The following is a 27,088-nucleotide window of genomic DNA, read 5'->3' on the forward strand; positions in this document are numbered from 1 at the left end:
TCTTAATACTACAACTTAAATATCTTTCTAAGGTCTTCTCTCTTCATTGTGATTACATGGTATTTATATGACAATATTTATTTAACCATGTTCCTGCATTTATTTATTTATTTATCTATTTATTTATTTGTTTATTCATTTTGAGATGGTCTTGCTGTGTTGCTCTCAGGCTGGAGTGCAATGGCACAATCGTGGCTCACTGCAGCCTTGACCTCCCAGGTTCAAACGAATCTCCTGAGTAGCTGAAACTACAGGCACGTGCCTCCATAGCCACTTAATTTTTGCTTTATTTTTTGTAGAGATGGGGTCTTGCTATGTTGCCCAGGCTGATCTCAAACTCCTGGACTCAAGCAATACACTCGCCTAAGATTCCCAAAGTGTTGGGATTACAGGCATGAGTCATGGTGCCTGGCCTGCTGACAGACATTTACATGAACTTCAATTTTCCTAAAATGCTACTTTAGTGAGTATTTTTGTACATGTATCTTTGTTCATTTCTTTTAGTATCCCTGTAGATAAGTATCCTAAAAGTGAAATGTCTAGGTTTTAAACTGTGAATATTTAAAATGTTGATAAGTACTGTCAAAGTGCTTGAGAGAGGTTGTTCCAACTTACGCACCTAACAAGAACAGTGAAAGATATCTTGGATGTTTAAAGAATATAAAAACAATCCCATAAATAATCAGTAATAGATGTGAAAACAATGAAAGCACTAACATTGCTTTTCTTTCTTTTTTTTTTTTTTTTTGTTGAGACAGAGTCTCGCTCTGTCGCCCAGGCTGGAGTGCAGTGGCGCGATCTCGGCTCACTGCAAGCTCTGCCTACCAGATTTACGCCATTCTCCTGCCTCAGCCTCCCAAGTAGCTGGGACTACAGGTGCCCGCCACCACACCCGGCTAATTTTTTTGTATTTTTTAGTGGAGACGGGGTTTCACCATGTTAGCCAGATGGTCTCAATCTCCTGACCTCGTGATCCGCCCGCCTCGGCCTCCCAAAGTGCTGGGATTACAGGCATGAGCCACCGTGCCTGGCCTAATTGTTTTGTATTTTTAGTAGAGACGGGGTTTCACCATGGTCTCAATCTCCTGACCTCGTGATTCGCCCACCTCCGCCTCCAAAGTGCTCGGATTACAAGTGTGAGCCAACGCACCCGGCCACATTGCTTTTTTTACAAGTAGTTTAGTGATGGGTTCCACAAAAAAAAGTTACAGATTAAGTAGCATTAGATTTTAACTACTCAGATACCACAAAAACACTTAAGTTTTAGGTCACATGAAATGGGATAAATATATAATGATCTAAAAAGCTATAATGGAATGAATATAGAACTCCTCTTTTTCAAACTTTTGTTGAATTTACCATTAGTTAAAAATAAAATATATAGGTCTTCATATTGATTTATCAGAAATGGAAGTTCATAAGTATATAAAAACTGTTTCTCAGCACATGGTGTTAGAATTAGCACAGAACCATTCTGATTTCAAGTTGGTTGTTCTCACCAACAATGAAGGTCAAACCATCAGTCAGTGCCTAATTCTCCCAGTCTTCAGGTTGCTTGAAACCGTAAATTCTTTCAGAATTTCTGATTGAGGGGTAGGACAATATTTGAAGCAAAAATACTTAGCCCTATTCTTTCCTTATAAAATACAGTAACAACTTGTCGTTTATAGAAATAACATAAAGTCTGCCTTTCTAAGCATCAACATTAATACAAACATTTTAAGAAATTAAGATAATCATTTCTTCTAAAACTTTCTCTAGAAGAGAAAGCTGTTTTAAGAAATTTGATTGGCACAAAATACAAAATGAGGAGTGTGTTTGGTATATGCTTTCAGGTCTACTGGCATAATACTGTTCATTTTCTAATGCAGAGTTAGTTTAGAGAATAATACTTAATGACTTTCAGTAGTTATTCTTAGAGGCAACACAAAATTATAACTTTTTAGGATAAGTGTCATTCAAGAGTCCTATTCTTAATCTTCAAAAATGTTGACAGACGTGCTCTGTATTCCACCAAATTTCTATTTGTGAAGCCCAGCTACTGTCTGAAACAGCTCTTGCTTCACAGGAATAATGCATGACTCTTTAAGAAAATGTCACCAGGAAAATGATAATTATCAAGAGATAATTCAAGAAATTTTATACAACAAAGACCAGTTTGTTGACATCGTCATGCCTTCCAAATGACCGAGGATGACAGAGTATATTAGGAAGTGTTACAGAGAAATCTAAATGGAATCCACAAACACTCATCCCGGAGCAACTCCATTAGAAACATTTCAAAAGAGCTTCACCTGTGAGTTACACAAAGAATATGTTGACACATCGTCTTTGTGGAGTCCACCAGTATAGAAAGCTTTTTAACTTTCTTTGACCTATCTACTGCTGAATCTGTTTCCTTAAAAATATCATGCTACTGGAATTGTGGTCAGGAGATGAGTGCTAGCGTACAAACTATTTGTAACACACCCATGAACAGAGAAGATTAAAAGTACATTCTCGAATTTTAAATTGATTACAGAGCAGTAACCACTATTGGTACTGAATCCTGGACCGCATGATGAGTAGCACTGTCTCACAGGCCCTAGTACTAGCCCCAGGAATACATAACACATTGGCACAGACTTAGAAAACAAATATCTGATGTGTATAAATGTGTGTATGTGTTTAAATAGCTTCTGAAATAAATTTAGAATCAAAAGGTTCTATAATCTGGGGACTTATACTTTTGAGAAGATGGAGTAGACATGTTTTTCCCTATTCTTCCCGCTAAGTACAAATAAAAGCCTTGGACATATATATACATAAAACTTAAGGTGACTCTGAAAGTTATAGAGAAGAAGGGAGACTAGCTAGGGAGCTTGAGGTCCAAGGAAGCGTATGGTAGTGAGTCTCCTATGTTTTCTTTGGCCTCATAAATCTCAGGCAGGGTGCTGGGTGCTAGAGAAGCCAGCAACCCAAAAACATTAACAGGCACAGACAAATAAATCTCCAGGCTCACATGGTTTCACTAGGGAACTTCACCAAGCATTTAAAAAGAAATCAACACCAATTAACAATGAGCATGTTGGACACTGAAATTAAGAATCCAATGCCACTTGTAATTGCTTTAAAAGAGAACAATGTATGTGTAAGACTGACAAAACATATACCAAACGTATATGCTGAAAACAATACAATGCTGATGAAATAAATCAAAGGAGACCTAAAAGAAGGAGAGACATATCATACTCATGGGTTGCAAGGCTTAACATAACAAAAAACCAATTCCCTCCAAATTCATATACAGGTTTAATAAGATTCCTATCAAAATCTTAGCAAGATTTTTTCGTAAAGATAAAATTGTTCTAGATTGTACATAAAAAGGTATAGGAACTAGAACAGGTAAAACTGTTTTGGAAAAGAAGAATAAAGTGACAAGAGTTATTCTACTCAATTTCAGAATTTATATAAATACAGTAATTAAGACTCTGTGATATTGGTGGCGGGACAGCCACAAAGATCAATGGAACAAAACAGAGAACCCCAAAACAGACCCAAAGAAATATGCCCAGCTGAATTTTGACAAAGATGTAAAAGCAATTCAATGGAGAAAAGATAAGCCTTTTCAAAAAATGGTGCAGGAGTAATTGAATATCATAGCCCTTTTGCCCCTTAAAAAATAACCTTGACCTAAGTCTCACAACTTATTCAAAAGTCAACTCAAAATGGATCACAAACCTAAATATAAAACATAAAACTATAAAACATCTAGAAAAAAACATGAGAAAATTTTTATTATGTAGGGCAACGTAAAGAGGACTTAGACCTGATACTAAAAAGGTATAATCCATAAAGGAAATATTGACGTATTGGACTTCATCAAAATTAAACACTTTTGCCCTGCAAATGACCCTGTTGAAAAAATGAATATATACGTTATATAGTGTAACAGATAATACTTACAAAGCACATATCCAACAGTGGACTAGTACCTAGAATAACTCAAAACTCAATAGTAAAAACATAATCTAATTAGAAAATGGCCAAAAGAAATTTGCTTTGTCTCTTCATGCTGCTGTTACAAAATACCTGAGATTTGGTCATTTATAAAGGACAAAAATATATTGTTTCACAGTTCTGGAGGCTGGGAAGTCCAAGATCAGTGCACCGCCATTTAGTGATATGGCCTTTCTTGCTTCATCCTCACATGGCAGAAAGTGGAAATGCAAAACAGGTCTAAGCTAGTTCCCTTCAGCCCTTTTATAAAGCACTACCAGGGATGTCCAATATTTTGGCTTCCCTGGGCCACAATGGCATAAGAAGGATTGTCTTGGGCCGCACATAAAATACACTAACACTAACAATAGCTGAGCTAAGAAACTAAAATTGCAAAAAAAATCTCATAATGTTTAGAAAGGTTACAAATTTGTCTTGGGCCACTTTCAAAGCCATCCTGGGATGCCTGTGGCCTGTGGGCCGTGGGTTGGACAAGCCTGCACTAATCCATTCATGAGGGCAGAGCCTTCATGACTAATCACTTCCCAAAAGGCTCTGCCTCTTAATGCAAACCACAATGGGGATTAAATTTCAACATGCATTTTGGAGGGAGCATTCAGACCATAGCATCCATGAACAGACAATTCACCAACCACAATCTACAGATGGCAAATAAGCACATGAAAAGATGTTCAACATCTTTAGCCATTAGGGAAATGCAAATTAAAATCACAATGAAATATCACTACACACCCATAAGAATGGCTAAAATAATACCACCACCACCAAATGCGGGCTAGAATGTGGAGAACCCTGACCACTTACACATTGCTGATGGCAATGTAAAATGGAACAGCCATGCTGGAAAACATTCATCAGTTTCTTAAAAAAACTAATTATACAACTTCCACATAACCCAACAATTATCCCCCAAAATGAAGATTTATATTTATACCAAAAACCTGTTCATGAATGTCTAGAGTGGCTTTATTTGTAATAGCCAAAAACGAACCAACCCAGATGTCTTTCAACAGATGATGGTTAAACAAACTGTGGTAGGTACATCCATATCATAGATTGCTACATAGCAAGAAAAAGGACTGTAACGGGATTATTACACATTGTATGCCTATATCAAAACATCTCATGTACCTTATAAATATATACACCTACTATGTACCCACAAAAATTAACAAAAGAAAATGGAACTAAATACTGATAAATACAACAACTTAAGAGTTTTCCACAAAACTCTCCCTGAAAAGTAAAAACAGGATGTCACCACTGCAGTGTCCTGCAGCATGGTGCATTGGTAGAGACCACTGATCTGTGACGCTATGTCAACAGAGCAGACAGCTGCCACCCCAAAATGCAGGACCCTAATTCGCTGTTAGGACAGGATCTTCTAACCATGGATGCTTTTCAGGGCTGACACATGTGATCTGTGTAGTTGTAAAGGGATTTAATGTTTAGCTATAGCTGTCTTGAAATTTTAACACGGGTCCCTGCCTTTTTATTTGGCACTGGATTCTGCAACCCAGGTAGCTAGTTCTAGTGTCTGGATACACAAAAGGGATGGTGAAAGGTAGATTGGCAGGAGGGAGAGTTAGGTTCTGGTCTCAGCTCTACCACTCACAATTTCATGACTGAGGCAGGCCACTTTCCTCTGGGCTTTATTTTCTATGTGTGGATGAGGGGTGTGTGTCCACATGCTATACATACTTGGGTACTTCAGCTGACCTTCCTAATGCAATATACCCCCAGCAATAAAAATGGCTCAAAATTACAGTCATCCTAAAATAAGGAATGGGGCATTTAGAAAAACAACCACAATAGGTAATTCTGACAGACACGCCTGGGGTTGAGGGCCACTGTGTGGGAGCAGCGAATGTCCCTCACTGAGTATAAGGCTGTCACAGCAAGCGCTTCTCAACTAAATAGAATGCATCTGTGTTCTCAGAGGGAAAGCCATTGCTCGGTCACTCACCCTCACCCACTTTTTGCTAAATGCTAATGATAATAAATAATATTACTATCATAGAGCCCTTTTTATTTCTCCTCCAAGACATACTACTTACTAAACAGATTAGATGAGCTTTAAAAAATAAAATGGCACACTGCCAAAGAGCAGTACTTCATTAGATTCTGTCAAAAACTGAAGGATGGTTTTCTTTTCTATTTTTTAACACATATATAGAAAATGACCCAAAGTATCCATATTACCTTGTTAACTTTCACACCTTCTTTTGGAGTTTGTTTTGTCGCTAGATTGTACCCAATCATCTGTTTAGCCAGCTGTCCCACAACATTAGGGCTAAGAGAAAGAGAAAACAAGCAGAAAATGAATGTTTGTTGAAAATCATTTAAATGAGAGTCCTTACACAGAGCCTCATGTCTACACTGCAAAGGGTTCACCTTCACCCTCACAAAATCCATGAGTCTTTCTGCTTATGTGCTGCGTGTTTAGCACTGTACTAGAGGCTCACTGAGAGCAAAATAAAAGTGAGTTCATGAATGAATAAATGAAACAAAAGATGCTTTGTGACCTCTTCACCCAAAAAAGTTACAGTCATAGTAAAGAGAGAATGCTGAAATGCACACCAGATTCAGATAAGGGTTGACTGAAGATCCGACAGTGGAAAACTGGGGAGATATTGAACAATGAGAGGGAAAGGAAGAGGGTAAAGATCAAAGTAAATAGTAAAAAGGTGTGTGACAGGAACAGGGAGGAGAGGAAAGTGTTCAGTGCTAGGAGATGCAGGAGATGAAGTTGAAAAGACAGGCTCAAATAAAGGAAGGCTTGGACTATCAGAGGGGAGGTACCCCAGATGCCACTGGTAATGGGGAGTCCCTTCAGGTCCTTGAATAGAGGAGTGACATTATGGAAGTAGCATTTCAGTTGGAAGTGGTATCATTTCCAACATTTATGATGAATCATTGATTGTTTAGGACAGAAGGACTGTCAAGTTTTCACCAATTAGTAAGAAAAATCATTTTGTGGGGGCAGAAGGAAAACTAGGGCACTGCCAGAGCCCTCTACCTATGATTTCAGTTTCTTCTAGTTGCTTTGGCCCGCTCCTACCCCACCACAACCAACCTCAGTGTGCCTTTCAATCTTGAGCAAGATCTTCCATAACTGCTTGGCCAAAAGACAAGGAATAACAACCTCCAGACTTACTCTTTTGTTAAATGAACACCTCCTTTCAAACCACTATTGAAGACACCTTTTCCTCTTCCTCCAGCTAAGATCTGGGCTTTTAAAACAATTTCTTTTGCATCTGAAAAAGAAAAATCCAGAGTTGGTAGCTGATTTTAAATTCTTTTTTTGTTTTTTAAGCAATAAGGAAAGCAATAATGGCACATAACTTCCAAGTAACTGGTAAAAGCTCTCTCAAACTAACTTTGAAAATAAATGCAATGAAGAACTTCAAAAAAACATCTATGAGCCTAAATACAAAGCTTGTTTACTGAGGATATTCAAATGCTTCCTACCAGTTTAATCATCTAATACTTGACCTTCCCAAGGGAAAGCAAGACATGTGTTCCCTTGCTCTTTTGAGTGTGTCAGAAGAAGCTAAATAAATCCTGGAAGGAGGTATTAATTTTACTGTGTAATGGCACTCCCATGTGGCAGAGGCACCAGTTGGCCAGTAAGAGGAGCTAACCATCAGAGATGTCAAAGGGAAGACTGGATTATGCGGGGGAAGGTTTAAAGACAAGACACAAAGGTCATAGTTAATAACTGCATTATTGGAAACCAACAGTTTTCTGAGCAGTTGTTCTATATACTGATAGGGTTGGGAAAGGGAGGAGGAAATGGATTAAAACTAAAAGCAAGCAATATTTTAAAATCATTGGCAAGGTAACAAAATATCCTGGGGGAAAGTGGTTGTGGAATCTTTGTTTCTCATCACACTCCACGAATGAAAGAACTCTCTAATCTTGACTTTTTAGACGAGAGTTATTAACACAAATATCTTCCCTTGCAGGGAAGTTGGGTGCATGAAGTAGCCCAGTGACAAATGGGGCCTTTAGCAAACAGGGTAGCTCCCCTCCCCAACCACCAAAACAAAACAAAACAACAACAAACAAAAAACTGCCTCCAAATCAAATATGTTTAATAAACCAAATAGCACACAACTGCAGACCACAGCTGATATCCTCTGTTTGTGAGTCATCTTTATTTAAAATCACAGAACCCAGCTGATCCCCTATAAGGCCATGAGAGTATTCTGGTTCAGTATACCAGATTTAGAATCTGCAAACCCAGGTTTCAATCTGGCCTTCATCCCTCACCCAGCTGTGTGACATTAGGCAAGTTACTTAATGTCTCTGAAACTCGGTTTATTCAACTGTGAAATGATGACAAGGGTTGTTTTAAAAATTAAATGAACACACATGAATGCTTTATCCCAGAGCCTGAAAACTTGTGATTAATTAAAAACTATTGCCTCGACCAGTTAGTTCATTTATTACCTTTGTATATTGTAAAGAATGAAAGGAATCATTACAGAGATGGCTAAACCAAAAAACTAACAAGCGCTCCATTAAGTTTGGTTATTTCAGCTATTACTGTCACTGTCATCATCATTGTTACCCACAGGCAAGCAGGTAAAGGTTCAAACGGAAAGAGCTGTGGAAGGTTTTATCATCAAGGCAATGGGGAGCTACAGAAGTATTTTACAGAAGGCATTCAGCCAGCTGATGTCACACCATTGAGGCTCCTTCACTGCCTTCATTGGTTAGTCTTCTTGTCTCCTATATTTGCTTACACTCAGAAAGCTGAAGCCCACCTTCTTCTCAGAAGCAAACACAGTTTTTTCTTAGAAGGCTGTCCTGTGTACCCTCTGGCAATAATTTCTGCCCTGGATACGAACCATCACAACATTGGTCAAGCCCTGTCTTATAATAAACTGGTTTCCATCAAGCTGAGTAGAAGACAAATTAATTGTCAGAAACTCACAAGGAAAGCAACCAAGTAAAATGAATACATTGCATATTTAGCTTACTGCAAGAACAGTAGTAAGAGCAAGGATATTGGAGTTAAACAGACCTGGTTAAAATCTCCAACTCTACCTATCACTTTCTTTGTAGAGAAGAAACAACTGAGATTCAGAAAGGTAAAAGTAGCATGCCCTTCTGTAAAGTAGTCATATTAAAGAAGTCTACAGTGTAAGGATGATGTGAAGAATAAATGAAATACAGTAAAGTGCCTGGCACATTTTTTTAAAGTCAAAATATGATAGCTATCAACATTATAATAATTTTCAGCAATTAAGAAAAAATGGCACACAGGAAGACATTTCCTGTTTTTCTTTGGAAGACATCAAGTGGAAAAAATACTTTTTGCTGTCTACTCAAATTTTTAATTGTGATCACTTCAAATTCTTTACATAACTGGCATTCCATTGCCATTATCATTTTTCATATCCTTGTCATCCTGAAGAGATGCTTTCCTCTCTGAGCTTTCCAGCAGCAAAACTTGAAAGCCAGAGAGAATACCTAATTGGGCATTGTTAATTGGCACTACATAGGCTTGATTAGATCAGCTTTAGTCACTAACCATCAAGACACAGAAAGAGTTGTATCCTCAATGAAGTGTTGTCAATTAAACGTGTCGCCATTTGACCTCCAGTCAAAGTATTCCATGCAAAACAGTGTTGGTAGAACAAGCAACCAGTTCAGAGACTATGAAACCAGAGATCAGGACAAATAGAAAAAGACAACAACCTACGCACATCTGCAACATACACCCCAGGCCAAAAATGAGTTCACTAAAATCATCTCTTCTGATTACATCTCAAGTGCTAAATCAATATAGTAAGTCAGCAAGTCAGCAGCCCAAAGTAAAGCAAGTTTTTCTCATCTTGAGAAAAACTCTCATGAAGTAATTTAATTCAAGGCTTATTTACTCAAGGTGCTGAAAATTAAGATGACAAATCCCACTCAACAGTAACTCGTCTCTTCATTCAGTATTTACCAAATTGATTCACATGTACTAAATGTCACTGTTTCTATTTATTTAAAGATCTGATCTCTCCCAAAACTCAAATTTCTGTTTTTATTTAACATTGCCTCTTGCCCCAATCCTGAACGGTATTAGAAAAGAAAAAAAAATCCCATATATGAAATGCAATTTTTGTCTGAATAAGACGACTTAACCATCCTTTAGAAAAACAAGCTAAAAGGACAGAGGAAAAAATTAACTCTAATATGAGTTGGGGTTTTATTTTTGTTTTTTGTTTTAGACAGAGTCTCACTTTGTCACCCAGGCTGGAGTGCAGTGGTGTGATCTTGGCCCACTGCAACCTCTGCCTCCCGGGTTCAAGCGGTTCTCCTGCCTCAGCCTTCTGAGTAGCTGGGGTTACAGGCACATGCCACCATGCCCAGCTAATTTTTTGTATTTTTAGCAGAGATGAGGTTTCCCATGTTGCTCCAGCTGGTCTCAAACTCCTGAGCTCAGGCAATCTGCCCACCTCAGCCTCCCAAAGTGCTAGGATTACAGGCATAAAATAGATTTTATATAGAAGTAGACAACAACCTAGACATTGATAATTATATTATTGGACTCTGAGTTGGTATAACTTGGGTCTGGATAACTCCAAAGTCTTTGCTCTTAATTGCTATTTTTATACGCAGTAGCCTAAGTATGCAACGTCTTCACTAAATTTTGTTCCTTTCTTAGTGAGTTTCTGAAAATAACCAGTACTCATGGTTAGGTTTTCACTCAGTTTAATAGGAACCAGTTTATTAGAATTTACATATATTTTAGTAGAAAACACTGTAAGACATATCTGACAAACTTATAAATATGTAAGACTCTCAAACACAGTATCACTTAAGAGAACAATATTTAGAGCGATTTAAAAAGTCTAAGCAAAACCTTACTCTGTGGTCTTTTTTTAGTCTATCAGCTGAATTATAACAATGCTTTTACAAATATTTTCTTTTCATTCTTTACCACAAGTGTTATTCTAATTATAATGCAGTTTTATAGCAATTTTTATAGATCCCCAATAGTCACATGCTAGATAATAAACATTCTTGGAAGCAGTAGGTCTAAAGGGAAAAAAATCAAATCATTAAGAAAAGCATAATCTAAATAGAATACACATTTTTAATTAAGCAAGCTTTGTAAAATGTGGTTCACTTAATTTTCTTAGAGATGGCTTTCTGAAAACATATTTACACAAAGTAATGCTCACAAGACATATTTCAGAGCCATAATAGGAATCATAGTAAATGTCTGAAATGTTAATCAAATATATTGACAAAAGTAAGTTATTTTCAACTATTTTTTAAAAACAGTTCAGTGATGAGTCAACTATTTGTGTTACTGAGCTGGTTTTTATTCAGCATTGCTCTTTTCTAAATTATAATACTTTCCTAAATGCTAAATGTATCACTGATACTGCAATGAGATGACTACTACAATGATCATCTATTTGGAGTCAATAATATTGGACTTGCAGAAACTGATTTCTGTGGTTCACTGACTGGAGCAAAATTGGAATATCCAGTTCTCAGCACAACTGCATCGTGTAATATGTAGCATGGCAATCACCTTCCCTGAGAGTTGATAGAATTCCTAATTGAGAAAGTTAAATTGTATTTCAGAATTTCAGATTTACCTATTACCAGAAGGCAAGGAGAAGGCAAAGTGGAAGGCAAGAGAAGAGTCAAAAGGTATTGTGTAAAGATGAACTTTAATAAAGAATATACAATTATATAGAGATAAGTTAGAGGCCTTGGTGCCAATTTCTCAAAGGAAATGAGCTCACTTCTATGTTTGCGTTACGACTTCAGAACCCAAACATAAAAATAGAGAGTTACCAATCTTCAATCATTACTATGATATCACCTATAGAATGACACATATTTCCTCAAGTTGTAACTGGGTCAATGGGAATAAGATGATACTGTAATAATTCTCCATATGTCAAAAGGCATCTTTGAGACTGAAATAATTATTTCAGCTTTCAACATGTCTGACATGGACTTTTCAAATTTGGGACAGAGAGTTTCAAACACACAGCACATTAGAATAAACCATTTCACCATTGGTCACATCATTTGACTGAATGAGACTGGAGATACATGGCTCTCCAGTAGACTGCTGCCCATCAGAGATTTGAATCGTGTATGTCTAAAACAGCCACTTTCAAGTATAAGTACAAGACAGAAATAGAACCATCTCCAGGACAAGGATTTTATGATACAAATAGGAAGTTATCCAGGGAGATATTATTTCAAATCAAGAAATTCTTGACTGATAAGGCTTTCATGTAAGTTTTAAATCTAAAACTTCCCTTTGAATATGATTCCCTATTATGAAAAAAAATCCTTTCTTTGGATACTGTGGGGGCATGATAAAGCCATTTTGAAGAGTTTGATTATTTAAAAATGATAATATCTTAACAAAAAATGTATTTATGCTTTCGACGGAATAATTTTAATTTTAGTCCCTATAAAAATTCCTAAATTAAAGTTTATTAAATCACAGTTTTTTCATATTTGCCATATGCTTAAAAATATTGTATATTTATTACTATATTATGGGCCACATTAAAATCTGTAATATAAATTAGGCTACTCCTCTGATCTTGTCACTAATCTTACTTACTGCTTTCATAACCGTTAATACACATTTTGTTGGTGATAAAATTTTTAAAGGTAAATAAAAATTATCTCTAGAAAAACCCAATTCAGTTGTAACATCTTACTATTCTCAGTAAAAGATACAATCTTGCTCTTTTCATGTAGTTTAATACTAGTAAGCCAATCTTACATTGTGTCAATTATATTAAAAGATATATTTCTACAAAAAAGCCTTAGGACAGAACTCCCTAACACTGATGGCAAAAAAAAAAAAAAAAAAAAAAAAAAAAAAAATGCCCATGTGACATCATTCAACACCTGTAACTAATTAAAGAATTTCTAACATTGTAAGAATGAAACCACAGGACATTAAACAAATCTTTTGCAAATGAAGCCACTTGAAGAAATGACAGTTTTTCAGAAAAATACAAGTTTCTTCAAAAGAACAAACTTCCAGAAGAAATCTCTACTGATTAATTACAGGACAAAGCAATCCTATTATGATATACATTGACAGTAAAAATACCTGTGTAACACTTGTAATTTCAAGAGGTGCTGGAAACAGTCATGGAAGATGAAAAGCATTTATGAAAGCCAAAAGTATTTCTACTGTATTATGTGTATGTATTTAAAGGAAGTTAAGGAAAACTAGCTATAAAAAAATCATGTCTCCCCCTGATTTTCAAACGAAAGATGTGAGTCAGCCAGGGTTCAATTAAGGAGGCAGAACTACTATGACTTATAGACAAGGGATTTATTATAGGAATCGAAGCTTGCACACTTACAAGAGGAGCTGAGAAAAGGCACGTCTAAAAGTGAGGTTGGAGGGTCCTAGGAGTCCCCAGCCAGCCAAGCAGAGGAATCAGCACCTCCAGATGGAGAAGTGGATGGCAAAGGAGGAGCTGGGGAAAAGGACTTGGGACTTGCTGCCAAGTGCTACAGTTTGGATGCTTGTCCCCACAAAATCTCTCGTTGAAATCTGACCTCCAGTGTTGGAGGACAGGCCTAATGGGAGGTGCTTGGGTCACGGGAGACGATCCCTTATGAATAGATTACCTGGAACTTAAAAGAAAATTAAATTTAAAAATAAATAAATAAATGAATTACCCATCCTCAGGTACTCTTTTACAGCAACACTAAATAGACTAAGACACCAAGCATCTCAGGATGGGCCTGGGTCCATATGGCTCAGCAGGATCAGCACTTGGGACAAACAGCTGGACACAATGCAGAGAAGAGCAAGAAAAGGCTGGAGCCTCTTGCTAACATCTCCACATCTGTCTGTCACTACCTAATCACAATGAACTGCAGGGAGTAATCACAAATTCTGTGCAAACTCCTCTTTTAGTCAACTCAAACCCAAAACTACACAGGGAAGGGGATTCTGGAAAACGCAGTTCCAGCTAAACAAGGTGACACAGTACAAGTCATCACACCTGATAGCTATAACATCTGACAGCAGAGCCCACAAGTGTTGCGGGTTGAAAATGAACAGCTCTGAAACGTTTCTGAGTTGCTTGAGAATCCACCTCTCCTTTAGTTGCATATTATTGAAGGCTACTTGACATTAAGGGGATTCTCTCGTCGACCATAACCAGTGATGAGGAAGGGAAGAACAAAAGGTGGCAACAGCCAGAACAGCTCTTGGTGTGCACACACTCATATCCTGCTGGTGGAACATAAACTCATGAAGGTTTCATTTTCAGAGCCAATTGGAATGACCATGAAATTTAAAATGTATGCAATATATACACTGTCTGGCTGCACCTATATTTAAAGATGTTCGTTTCACTTTTACAGCAATATTACTAATTTCAGAGATCATCTACCTTCTTGAATAGAAATCTTGTATTTTCCTTATTTTCTGTTATTTAAATCTGTTCCTCTCTCAGACCCTCCTCCATTGGTGATAGGCGCCCTCACAGGCAATCACAACTACTGTCCAGAATCTTTGCCCTGCTGTCTGTTCACTGCCATCATTCACTGCCTATGGTCTCTGGACCATACTCCTGCCAGTTTTCACACTAAACCTGAGACCTCTGTGCCTGCAAATCACCAAGCCCTGCTGCCCAGTCGTCTTCTTCTCATTTAGACACATCATCCATCAGGAACCCTTCACCTCTCCAACCTGTTCTGCTCTTTAGAGGAACTCATTCTCCAGACAGCCAATGCAGACTGAAATCAAACTCCCTCTCACAGACTCCTGAGCCCAGTACAAATCAAGGATTCAGGCTGGGCAACTTATTTCATACAGCTGAAAAATGCACAACAGTTAAAAAGTACCTGGAATCTTTGAAGGCAATTAGGAGGGCCATCTGCTTAGGGCTCACAGAAAATCCTTTGATAGCGCAATCCTACTTCCATGAAAATTGACAAGAGAACTAAAGATTTTCATTGCAATGTAGTTATAATAGTGAAAAAACTAGAAATAATCCAAATGTCCACCAACATTTGGACACTATTGGGAAAATAAATTTTATGTATCCAAATAATGAAACAATAAAACACCATATGTACAGTCATTAACAATAATTAAGTATACTTTTTAAAATTATACTTTAGGTTCTGGGATATATATGCAGAGCCTGCTGGTTTGTTACATAGGTATACATGAGCAATGGTGGTTTGCTGCACCCATCAACCAGTCATCTACCTTAGATATTTCTCCTAATTTTCTGTTATTTAAATCCGTTCCCCTCTCAGACCCTCCCCTACCCCCAACCCACCGACAGGCCCCAGTGTGTGATGTTCCCCTCCCTGTGTCCATGTGTTCTCATTGCTCAACTCCCACTTATGAGTGAGTACATGCACTGTGTGGTTTACTGTTCCTGTGTTACTTTGCTGAGAATGATTGTTTCCAGCTTCATCCATGTCCCTGAAAAGGACATGAACTCATCCTTTTTTATGGCTGCATAGTATTCCATAATTTATATGTGCCACATTTTCTTTATTCAGCCTATCACTGATGGGCATTTGGGTTGGTTCCAAGTCTTTGCTATTGTGCACAGTGCCGAAATAAACATACGTGTGCATGTGTCTATATAGTAGAATGATTTATAATCCTTTGGGTATACGCCCAGTAATGGGATTGCTTGGTCAAATGGCAATTTCTAGTTCTAGATCCTTGAGGAATCGCCACACTCTCTTCTACAATGGTTGAACTAATTTACACTCCCATCAACAGTGTAGAAGTGTTCCTATTTCTCCACATCCTCTCCAGCATCTATTATTTCCTGACTTTTTAATGGTTGCCATTCTAACTGGCGTGAGATGATATCTCATTGTGGTTTTGATTTGCATTTCTCTAAAGACCAGTGATGATAAGCTTTTTTTCATGTTTGTTGGCCACATAAACATCTTCTTTTGAGAAGTGTCTGTTCATATCCTTCACCCACTTTTTGATGGGTTTGTTTTCTTCTTTCTTGTAAATTTGTTTAAGTTCCTTGCAGATTCTGGATATTAGCCCTTTGTCAGATGGATAGACTGCAAAAAATGTTCTCCCACTCTGTAGGCTGCCTGTTCACTCGGATGGTAGTTTCTTTTGCTGTACAGAAGCTCTTTAGTTTAATTAGAGCCCATTTTTCAATTTTGGCTTTTGTTGCTATTGCTTTGGCGTTTTAGTCATGAAGTCTCTGCCCATGCCTATGTCCTGAATGGTATTGCCTAGGCTTTCTTGTAGGGTTTTGATCGTTTTAGGTCTTATGTTTAAGTCTTTACTCCATCTTGAGTTAATTTTTGTGTAAGGCGTAAGGAAGGGGTCCAGTTTCAGTTTTCTGCATATGGCTTACCAATTTTCCCAACACCCTTTAGGAAGAGGGAATTCTTTCCCCATTGTTTGTATTTGTCAGGTTTGTCAAAAATCAGATGGTTGTAGATGTGTGGTGTTATTTCGGAGGCCTCTGTTGGTCTATATCTCTGTTTTCGTACCAGTACCATGCTGTTTTGGTTCCTGTAGCCTTGTAGTGCAGTTTGAAGTCAGGTAGAGTGATGCCTTCAGCTTTGTTCTTTTTGCTTAGGATTGTCTTTGTTTTAGGGGCCCTTTCCTGGTTCCATATGAAAGTTAAAGTAGTTTTTACTAATTCTCTGAAGAAAGTCAATGGTAGCTTCATGGGGATAGCATTCAATCTATAAATTACTTTGGGCAGTATGGCCATTTTCACAATATTGATTCTTCCTATCCATAAGCATGGAATGTTTTTCCATTTGTTTGTATCCTCTCTTATTTCCTTGAGCAGTGGTTTGTAGTCCTCCTTGAAGAGGTCCTTCACAAACCTTGTAGTTGTATATCTAGGTATTTTATTCCCTTTGTAGCAATTGTGAATGTGAGTTCACTCATGATTTGGCTCTTTGTTTGTCTATTAATGGTGTATAGGAATGCTTGTGATTTTTGCACATTGACTTTGTATCCTGAGACTTCGCTGAAGTTCCTTATCAGCTTAAGGGAATTTTGGGCAGAGACGATGGGGTTTTCTAAATATACAATCATGTCATCTGCAAACAGAGACAATCTGACTTCCTCTCTTCCTATTTGAATACCTTTTATTTCCTTCCCTTGCCTGATTGTCCTGGCCACATCTTCTAATACTATGTTGAATAGGAGTGGTGAGAGAGGGCATCCTTGTCTTGTGCCAATTTTCAAAGGAAATGCTTCCTGCTTTTGCCCATTCAATATGATATTGGCTGTGGGTTTTTCATAAACAGATCTTATTATTTTGAGATATGTTCCATCAATACCTAGTTTATTGAGAGTTTTTAGCACGAACCGGTGTTGATTTTTATCAAAGGCCTTTTCTGCATCTATTGAGATAATCATGTGGTTTTTGTCTTTGGTTCTGTTTATGTGATGGATTATGTTAATTGATTTGTGTATGTTGAACCAGCTTGGCATCCCAGGGATGAAGCCTACTTCATCGTGGTGGATAAGCTTTTTGTTGTGCTGCTGAATTCGGTTTGCCAGTATTTTATTGAGGATTTTAGCATCGATGTTCATCAGGGATGTTGGCCTGAAATTTTCTTTTTTTGTTGTGTCTCTGCCAGGTTTTGGTATCAGGATGATGCTGGCATCATAAAATGAGTTAGGGACGAGTCCCTCCTTTTCTATTGTTTGGAATAGTTTCAGAAGGAATGGTACCAGCTCCTCTTTGTACCTACGGCAGAAGTCAGCTGTGAATCCATCTTGTCCTAGGCTTTTTTTGGTTGGTAGGCTATTAATTACTGCCTCAATTTCAGAACTTGTTATTGGTATATTCAGGGATTCAAGTTCTTCCTGGTTTAGTCATGGGAAGGTGTATGTGACCAGGAATTCATCCATTTCTTCCAGACTTTCTAGTTTATTTGCACAGAGGTGTTTATAGTATTCTCTGACTTTAGTTTGTATTTCTGTGGGATCAGTGGTGATATCCCCTTTATCATTTTTTATTGTGTCTATTTGATTCTTCTCTCTTTTTTTATTAGTCTGGCTAGCAGACTATCTATTTTGTTAGCCTTTTCAAAAAAAACAGCTCCCGGATTCATTGATTTTTTTAAGGGCTTTTCGTGTCTCCATCTCCTTCAGTTCTGCTCTGATCTTAGTTATTTCTTGTCTTCTGCTTGCTTTTGAATTTGTTTGCTGTTGCTTCTCTAGTTCTTTTAATTGTGATGTTAGGGTGTCGATTTTAGCTCTTTCTTGCTTTCTCCTGTGGGCATTTAGTGCTATAAATTTCTCTCTAAACACTCACTGCCTTAGCTGTGTCCCAGAAATTCTGGTACGTTGTGTCTTTGTTCTCATTGGTTTCAAAGAACTTATTTATCCACTGGCTTGAAATTCACACCGCCAGCACATCAGTCTGAAGTCCACCTGGGGTGCTTGGTGGGAGGAGGGGCATCTGCCATTACTGAGGCTTGAGTAGGTGGTTTTCCCCTAGTAGTATAAACAAAGCTGCTTGGAAGTTCTGACTGGGCAGAGCCCACCGCAGCGTGGCAAAGTCACTGTAGCCAGACTGCCTGTCTAGATTCCTCCTCTCTGGGCAGGGCATCTCTGAAAGCAAGGCAGCAGCCCCAGTCAGGGACTTATAGATCAAACTCCCATCTCCCTGGGATAGAGCACCTGCCAGAAGGGGCGGCTGTGGGCACAGCTTCAGCAAACTTAAAAGTTCCTGCCTCCCGGCTCTGAATAGAGCAGTGGATCTCCCAGCACACTGCTGGAGCTGTGCTAAGGGACAGACTGCCTCCTCTAGTGGGTCCCTGATCCCTGTGCCCCCTTACTGGGAGACACCTCCAGCAGGGGTCGACAGACACCTCATACAGGAGAGCTCCGGCTGGCATCTGGGGGGTGCCCCTCTGGGACAAAGCTTCCAGAGGAAGGAACACACAGCAGTCTTTGCTGTTCTGCATCCTCCACTAGTGATACTCAGGCAAACAGGTTCTGTAGTGGACCGCCAGCAAATTCCAGCAGAAATGTAGACTGTAGCAGAGGGGACTGACTGTTAGAAGAAAAACTAACAAACAGAAAGGAATAGTATAAACATCAACAACAGGGACATCCACTCAGAAATCCCATCCAAAGGTGACCAACATCAAAGACCAAAGTTAGATAAATCCACGAAGATAAGGAAGAACCAGTACAAAAAGGCTGAAAATTCCAAAAACCAGAACACCTCTTTTCCTTCAAAGGATCACAACTCCTTGCCACCAAGGGAAAAAAACTGGATGAAGAATGAGTTTGATGAATTGACAGAAGTAGGTTTCAGAAGGTGGGTATTAACAAACTCCTCTGAACTAAAGAAGCACGTTATAACCCAGTGCAAAGAAGCTAAGAACCTTGAGAAAAGGTTAGATGAATTGCTAACTAGAATAACCAGTTTTGAGAAGAACATAAATGACCTAATGGAGCTGAAGGATACACAAGTATCAATAGCTAGATCGATCAAGTGGAAGAAAGGATATCAGAGATTGAAGATCAACTCAATGAAGATTACAGAAAAAAGAGTGAAAAGCAACAAACAAAGCCTCCAAAAAATATGGGACTACGTAAAAAGACCAAACCTACGTTTGATTGGTGTACCTGAAACTGACAGGGAGAATGGAACCAAGTTGGAAAACACTCTTCAGGATGTTATCCAGGAATACTTCCCCAACCTAGCAAGGCAGGCCAAAATTCAAATTCAAGAAATACAGAGAACACCACAAAGATACTCCTTGAGAAGAGCAACCCCAAGACACATAATTGTCAGATTCACCAAGGTTGAAATGAAGGAAAAAATGTTAAGGGCAGCCAGAGAGAAAAGTCGGGTTACCCACAAAGAGAAGCCCATCAGACTAACAGTGGATCTCTCTGCAGAAACCCTGTAAGCTAGAACAGAGAGGCCAATATTCAACATTCTTTTTCTTTTTTTTTTTTTGAGACGGAGTTTTGCTCTTGTTGCCCAGGCTGGAGTGCAATGGTACAATCTTGGCTCGCTGCAACCTCCTCCTCCTGGGTTCAAGCAGTTCTCCTGCCTCAGCCTCCCAAGTAGCTGAGCTGGGATTACAGGCATGCACCACCACACCTGGCTAATTTTGTATTTTTTAGTAGAGACGGGGTTTCTCCATGTAGGTCAGGTTGGTCTCAAACTCCCAACCTCAGGTGATCCACCCACCTCAGCCTCCCAAAGTGCTGGGATTACAGGCGTGAGCCACCATGCCCGGCCCTCAACATTCTTAAAGAAAAGAATTTTCAACCCAGAATTTCATATCCAGCCAAACTAAGTTTCATAAACGAAGGAGAAATAAAATCCTTTACAGAGAAGTAAATGCTGAGAGATTTTGTTACCACCAGGCCTGCCTTACAAGAGCTCCTGAAGGAAGCACTAAATATGGAAAGCAAAAACCCGGAACAGCCACTGCAAAAACATACCAAATTGTAAAGACCATCAACACTATGAAGAAACTGCATCAACTAACGGGCAAAATAACCAGCTAGCATCATAACAACAGGATCAAATTCACACAAAACAATATTAACCTTAAATGTAAATGAGGTAAATGCCCCAATTAAAAGACACAGGCTGGCACACTGGATAAAGAGTCAAGACCCATCAGTGTGCTGTATTCAGGAGACCCGTCTCACGTGCAAATAGGCTCAAAATAAAGGGATGGAGGAATATTTACCAAGCAAATGGAAAGCAAACAAAAGCAGGGGTTGTAATCCTAGTCTGGGGTAAAACAGACTTTAAACTAACAAAGATCAAAAGAGACAAAGAAGGGCATTACATAATGATAAAGGGACCAATGCAACAAGAAGAGCTAACCATCCTCAATATATATGCACCCAAAACAAGAGCACCCAGATGCATAAAGCAAATGCTTAGAGACCTACAAAGACACTTGGACTCCCACACAATAATAGTGGGAGACTTTAACATCCCACTGTCAATATTAGGTCAATGAGACAGAAAATTAACAAGGATATTCAGGACTTGAACTCAGCTTTGGACCAAGCAGACCTAATAGACATCTACAGAACTCTCCACCCCCAATCAACAGAATATACATTCTTCTCACCACCACATTGTACTTATTCCAAAACTGACCACATAATTGGAAGTAAAACATTCCTCAGCAAATGCAAAAGAATGGAAATCATAACAGTGTCTCAGACCACAGTGCAATCAAATTAGAACTCAGGAGTAAGAAACTCACTCAAAATCACACAACTACATGGAAATTCAACAACCTGCTCCGGAATGACTACTGGATAAATTAAGTATATTTTTAAGTGTAAATGTCAGAAAATGCCCATGCACAAACTAAGCTTTAAGCTGACCTTAATGACTAGCATTTTTTAAAAAATACACCTGTAAACAGTTACATAGTCGTAATAAAATCTAAATAACCAAGGTTGGGTGTGGTGGCTCATGCCTGTAAGCCACTTTGTGAGGCCGAGGCAGGTGGGTTGATTTGGGAGGCTGAGACAGGTGGGTTGCTTGAGCCCAGGAGTTCGAGACAAGCCTGGGCAACATGGTGAAACCCTGTCTCTACAAAAAGTACAAAAATTAGCCTGGCATAGTGGCATACCTGTAGTCCAAGCTACTCAGGAGGCTGAGGTGGGAGGATCCCTTGAGCCCAGGAGGTTGCGGCTGCAGTGAGCCATGATTATGTCACTGCACTCTAGTGTGGGCAAAAGAGTGAGACCCTGTCTCAAAAACAAATAAATAAATGAGCAACAACCAAACTATTAACTGAGGTTACCTTAAGTGGCTAGGGAGTAGTATTATGGGTACAACATTATATCTTTTCTATGTTGACTTAATTATTTTGCAATTATGTGTCAGAAAAATAAAAAGAGTTTAAAAGCTGTGAATTAAATGTGGGCAGTTAATTCATAGTAGTTTGTCTTGAATATTTAAATACTCATTTCTGTATCAGCCTTTACCATTTTACCACATGGGGTCGGGGTGTTTATATTTGAGGAAGCCTCTAGAAGATATCTTAAGGACACATGGCTGAATACCTTATAACATGACCTCCTAAAGAGTCACGCAAGAAAACTGGGAGTGGCAGGAAAATGTTTTGCCCTTTTAAAATATTAGTGAGCACTTACTTATTCTATGGGAATTCAAAAAATTTTTTTAAATGTCATGGTCATTGCCTTTTGTAAACTTAAAATTGACTGGAAGAAATAGACACAAACAAATTACTGAAAATTTTTAATTTATAATAAGCATTAAGAAGCAAATTAGGAAGGGGAAATGGTGTCAAGTAAAGCTGAGAAGGAAAAAGGACGGAAGAACTATTGATATGGTTTGGCTCTGTGTCCCCACCCAAATGTCATCTCAAATTGTAATCCCCTGTTGTGAAGGGAGGGACCTAGTGGGAGGTGATTGGATCATGGGGATGATTTCCTCCATGCTGTTCTCATGATAGTGGGTAAGTTCTTACAAGATATGATGGTTTAAAAGTGGCACTCCCCACTTCACTCTCTTTCTCTCCTCCCAGCTTGTGAAGAAAGTGCTTGCTTCCCCTTCGCCTTCCACCATGATTGTAAGTTTCCTGAGGCCTCCCCAGCCACGCGGAACTGTGAGTCAATTAAACCTCTTTCCTTTATAAATTACTAGTCTCAGGGAAGCAGTGTGAGAATGGACCAATACAGCTATAAAGAGAAGAGTACTTGGCCAACGTCATGAGGAAGAGCTGTGAGACTTCTAGGAAGATGGGACTGGAGAGCAAGGACATGGAGTGAAAAACAACTAAAAAAAGGCTACTTTGCTTTTCTATTTATTTCTGTTTGGCTTTCATGGTTTGCTGTTTAAACTAGAAATCACTATAGCACCACTTCAAATAAAGCAGCAAATCATGCCAGGATCCTGCACTATAAATCATTCAAATTTGCTATTTCAGATATTCAGAAAACTTCTACAGATTAAAGTTTATTTCCCTATGTTCAAGAACAGCATATAAATAGAAAATACATTGATCATCTTTGTTAAATTTAGATATTTTACCCCAAATACTTTTAAGAGCTCTAATAATTTTATCATGCCAGTCTCAAAACAGCTCCCAACCAGGTAAGCTAACTCTCAGATAAAACAGCCCCCAGCCAGGTAAGCTAACTCTCCTATAAAAGTTCCTCAAGGGGTCAGTGAGATTCATACTAAGCATTATTTAGTAGCAACAATAATAAAGTATACGCTCCCCTCCTCCCATCCTGCAAAGAAACACATATTCCATACTTTAAATCTGCTATAATTCCAAATGCTAGAGATACAGAATTCCAGACAACAGCTTGATGTTGTTGCCATAAAAAGGAATCCAGGAGGCATTTGTCTTCAATTTTAAAGTTTGTAAAGTGGTCAATGACATGCTGGAGTTAAGCAGAAGCCAGGAATGACCTACCCCAAGAGAGATGAAAGATCTCAGAACCACTTTCCCATGATACACACATCTACTGAGGTCCAGCATAACTGTTATGCTGCTTTCAAATTGCACTGAGTTTTAAATTGCAATGTCTTGCTCTTTTATTGCCTGTCTTGATGCATTCATTGTTTTTGAAATCTAAGTCTATTGCTCGAATGTTAAACACAGAGGGGACTTTAGATTACATCCTGGAGGATGAAACTGAGCAGTATCAATGAACTTGGAAGAGTTTATATTTGGCTTTCAAGGGTTGTGAAGGCCTGAGAAATAGCTATTTCCTTTTCTCTTTATGCCACTTTCTTTGGTTTCCTCCTTCTCTCCTTCCCTGCCTCATGCTTTCTTCCTTTCTCCCTCCTCCCTCCTTTCCTCTCTCCTTTTCATTCTTCCTTTTCCCACCTGCTTCCCTGCAATACTTCCAAGTTATTTAATTTGCATGTTTGACTATATCTCAGATAACTAATTTCAGTTCCAGCAGCCAGAGAGATCCACATTTACTTCAAATTCTACCCTCCATTACACTCTCCCACAGAACCACTCCCAAATAAGAATGTATCCACTTAAATCCCTGTGAATTGGAACACTCATTATCAATGTGCTACACCTAACCACAGAAGCCATAAAACCTGAACCTACTTTCTTGGACTGTTTTCAAAACGACATTTCTGATTATATGTGAGCATTCAAATCTCTTCTGGCACTTTCTGCATCTTATTTTTCAATGCCTGGCTTGAGCTAGAATTCATACTGGGGGAAGTCAGGCCAAGTGTTATAAATGGGAAATGAGGGAATTAACAAGCTGGTATAAATTTTACTTCTTGGAGTAAAAGAATACAAAATTTTTTGACTTGAGTTTGGAATTATACCACCCAAGACAGCACAGGAAAATACTTAAGAGCTAGCATCCATATCTGGTAAAACTGAAATAAAATTTGGCAGCTTTTAAGTAGTTCTCCAATGGTATTAGTGTGGCACAGAAATCAAGTCCTGTTTCATATGAACCAAGCAGTCCTACAGGAGGATACCCTTTGAAATTCCAATCATTACAAGAAATTTGCACTAATGATTCATATTTCAGGCCGGGCAGGGTGGCTCACACCTGTAATCCCAGCACTTTGGGAGGCCAAGGCAGGTGGATCACTTGAGGCCAGGAGTTCGAGACCAGCCTGGCCAACATGGTGAAACCCCGTCTCTACTAAAAATACAAAAATTAGCCGGGCGTGGTAGCACACGCCTATAATCCCAGCTACTCGGGAGACTGAGGCAGAAGAATAGCTGGAACCGGGGAGGTGGAGGTTGCAGCGAGCCGAGATTGTGCCACTGCACTCCAGCCTGGGCCACAGAGTAAGACTCTGTCTCAAAACAAACAAACAAAATTAGCTGAGCATGGTGGCAGGTGCCTGTAATCCCAGCTACTTGGGAGGCTGAGGCAGGAGAATTGCTGGAACCGGGGAGGCAGAGGTTGCAGCGAGCTGAGATTGTACCACTGCACTCCAGCCTGGGTTACAGAGTGAGACTCCATCCCAAAAAATAAACAAACAAAAAAGATTCATATTGCATCATCACAGCTGGAAAGCTAGCATATAAGTCTATTCCTCCTATCCACACACAGCTTGCTAATATGGCTAATGTTTTTTCTATACCCCCACATTCTCTGCTATGGTCTGAATGTTTGGGTCTCTTGTACCCCAAAATTCATAAGTTGATATCCTAACCCCCAGGTGATAGTACTGGGAGGTGGGGGCAGAGACCTCCTGCATGGGATTAGTGCCCTTCTAAATGGGACCCCAGAGAGTTCCCTCATCCCTTCTACCACGTGAGGACACAGCTAGAAGGCAATATGTGTTAAGGAGAAAGCAGGCTCGCCTCAGACACTGCATCAGCCTTGGTCTTAGACTTCCCAGCCCCTAAAGCTATGAGAAACAAATTTCTGTTGTTTATAGGCCACCCAGTCTCTGGTATTTCCTTACGGCAGCCAGAATGAACTAAGATACTCCCTGAACACATAGTGTTTTACTCTATTTTCTACTTTAGTTTTCAGCAACATGGACATCCAGAAGTAAACAATACATCTATAGAATTACCTGAAATACTCTCCTTCGTCCTCAAGCACTGGTGCCCTTAAATCCAGCTGCAGCCTCTTCCAGGTTCCTGACCCTTTCTCATTGCCTCCCAGCAGGAGGTGGAACAGTCTGTCATAATGCATAAACATGATTTGACTGTGGGGAGGGGGCAGATCTTGCTACCCTAGAAGAATTTCCCAGGATACCTGTCCAAAAAGCTAAAAACAGAATAACTCCAGAAAAGAAGATGTCCTAGCCTTATGCAAAGGGAACAATTTTCACGAATCAACTAAATTAACACTGACTTGGGAATGCTACCAAGTCTAACAAAGCAGATGCCACCTCTCCTCTGAAGGCCCTTGGAGTTCAAAGGAGATGCTACAGCAAGGGGGATCCATGAAGCCAGGGAGAGATTCTGTCAAACCTAATGAAGCCACTCTCCAGTTTTGCTAATCACACCCCTTACACCGCCTCCAGTATGAAAGTTTCTACCGAAGGACGACACAGCATGATGCAAAACAAAATCGCCTCATTCTCCTGAAAATGACCAGTACCAGGCACATAGCAGGCCCTCAGCATACGGTCATTCATTCACAATCATCACTTCCTTTACTCTATGAAATCATAATCACAGTGTTTGCTAGGAGCTTACTGAAAAATAAGATTTGTGCTGAGCGTATTCACTATTTCTATTTAGCAAATGACCCAATTGAAGTTAAGGGAGTTTCCTGGAGTCATACAGCTAGGAAGAAACAGAGTTGAGATTTTTAAGCCAGAAAGATTATTTGAGAGACTGTGCTTTAACTTCCTCACATAGAGCCTTATTACTGATTTTTCCCCAATGTTCTATTATTAAAATTTCCAATCACATAGAAATGTCAAATGACTAGTAAATATCCACATATAACCTAGATCTACAACTGTTCACATTTTGTACATGTGCTTTGTCACATCTCTCAATCCAGCACAACCCATCTTATTTTTTCATGCAATTCAGAGTAAGTTCCGTGCATCAGTACAGTTAAACTCTTCAGTATCCATATCAGTTATTAGAGTTTAAAAATATTAGAGTTTAAAAATATTAATTTATAATAAACATTAAGAACCAAATAAGGTACAGTTCCTTTGGGGAAGAGGTAAAATTTAATTTCAGTGAAATACCCAAATCTCATGTGTACCAATCAATAAGTTTTAACAAATGCATATACTTGTATGACTCAATTCCCAAATCAATAAATCTATTATTGTTTCTGAGAACATATTACAAGAGTATCCTTAGGACAAATGAGCGAAAATATTGACAATAGGGATCACAAGTCTCTTCCTAAATACTTACTGAGACTAAGCATAACAAAATATTTAATTTATACACCTTAGCACAAAGCGCAATGTCCAATGCCTGGCCTACAAGAGGCACCCAACAGGTATGAGACTATCCAAAGGCGTATAAAAAAGGAATCAGCTTCCCCCATTACCACTTCCAAATCAGAATACTGCTTGAAACACTCCTAAATCAGTCACAGTCAATTATATGCAAAATACTGAGTTCAAATGGGAATTTTTTTTAAGCCATGAACATA

At 38.8% G+C, this 27,088-nt stretch overlaps 1 protein-coding gene across 6 annotated transcripts in view; it reads right to left on the reverse strand.

The window, feature by feature from the left end:
• SUCLG2 (succinate-CoA ligase GDP-forming subunit beta) overlaps positions 1–27,088 on the reverse strand; it is a 294,153-nt gene that overhangs the window by 161,471 nt on the left and 105,594 nt on the right. For all 6 annotated transcript variants that reach the window (XR_007095763.1, XR_001740350.3, NM_001177599.2 and 3 more), the window contains exons 3-4: positions 7,157–7,256; positions 6,202–6,292 (exon numbers count right to left, since the gene is read on the reverse strand). Coding sequence is in view for 4 of the 6 variants with exons in the window: in NM_001177599.2 (NP_001171070.1) it covers positions 6,202–6,292; positions 7,157–7,256 (191 nt within the window). In the remaining 2 variants the exon portion in view is untranslated. The remainder of the gene's footprint in view (positions 1–6,201; positions 6,293–7,156; positions 7,257–27,088) is intronic.

This window comes from Homo sapiens, chromosome 3 (genome assembly GCF_000001405.40).
Source record: "Homo sapiens chromosome 3, GRCh38.p14 Primary Assembly".
Lineage (NCBI taxonomy): Eukaryota > Metazoa > Chordata > Mammalia > Primates > Hominidae > Homo > Homo sapiens.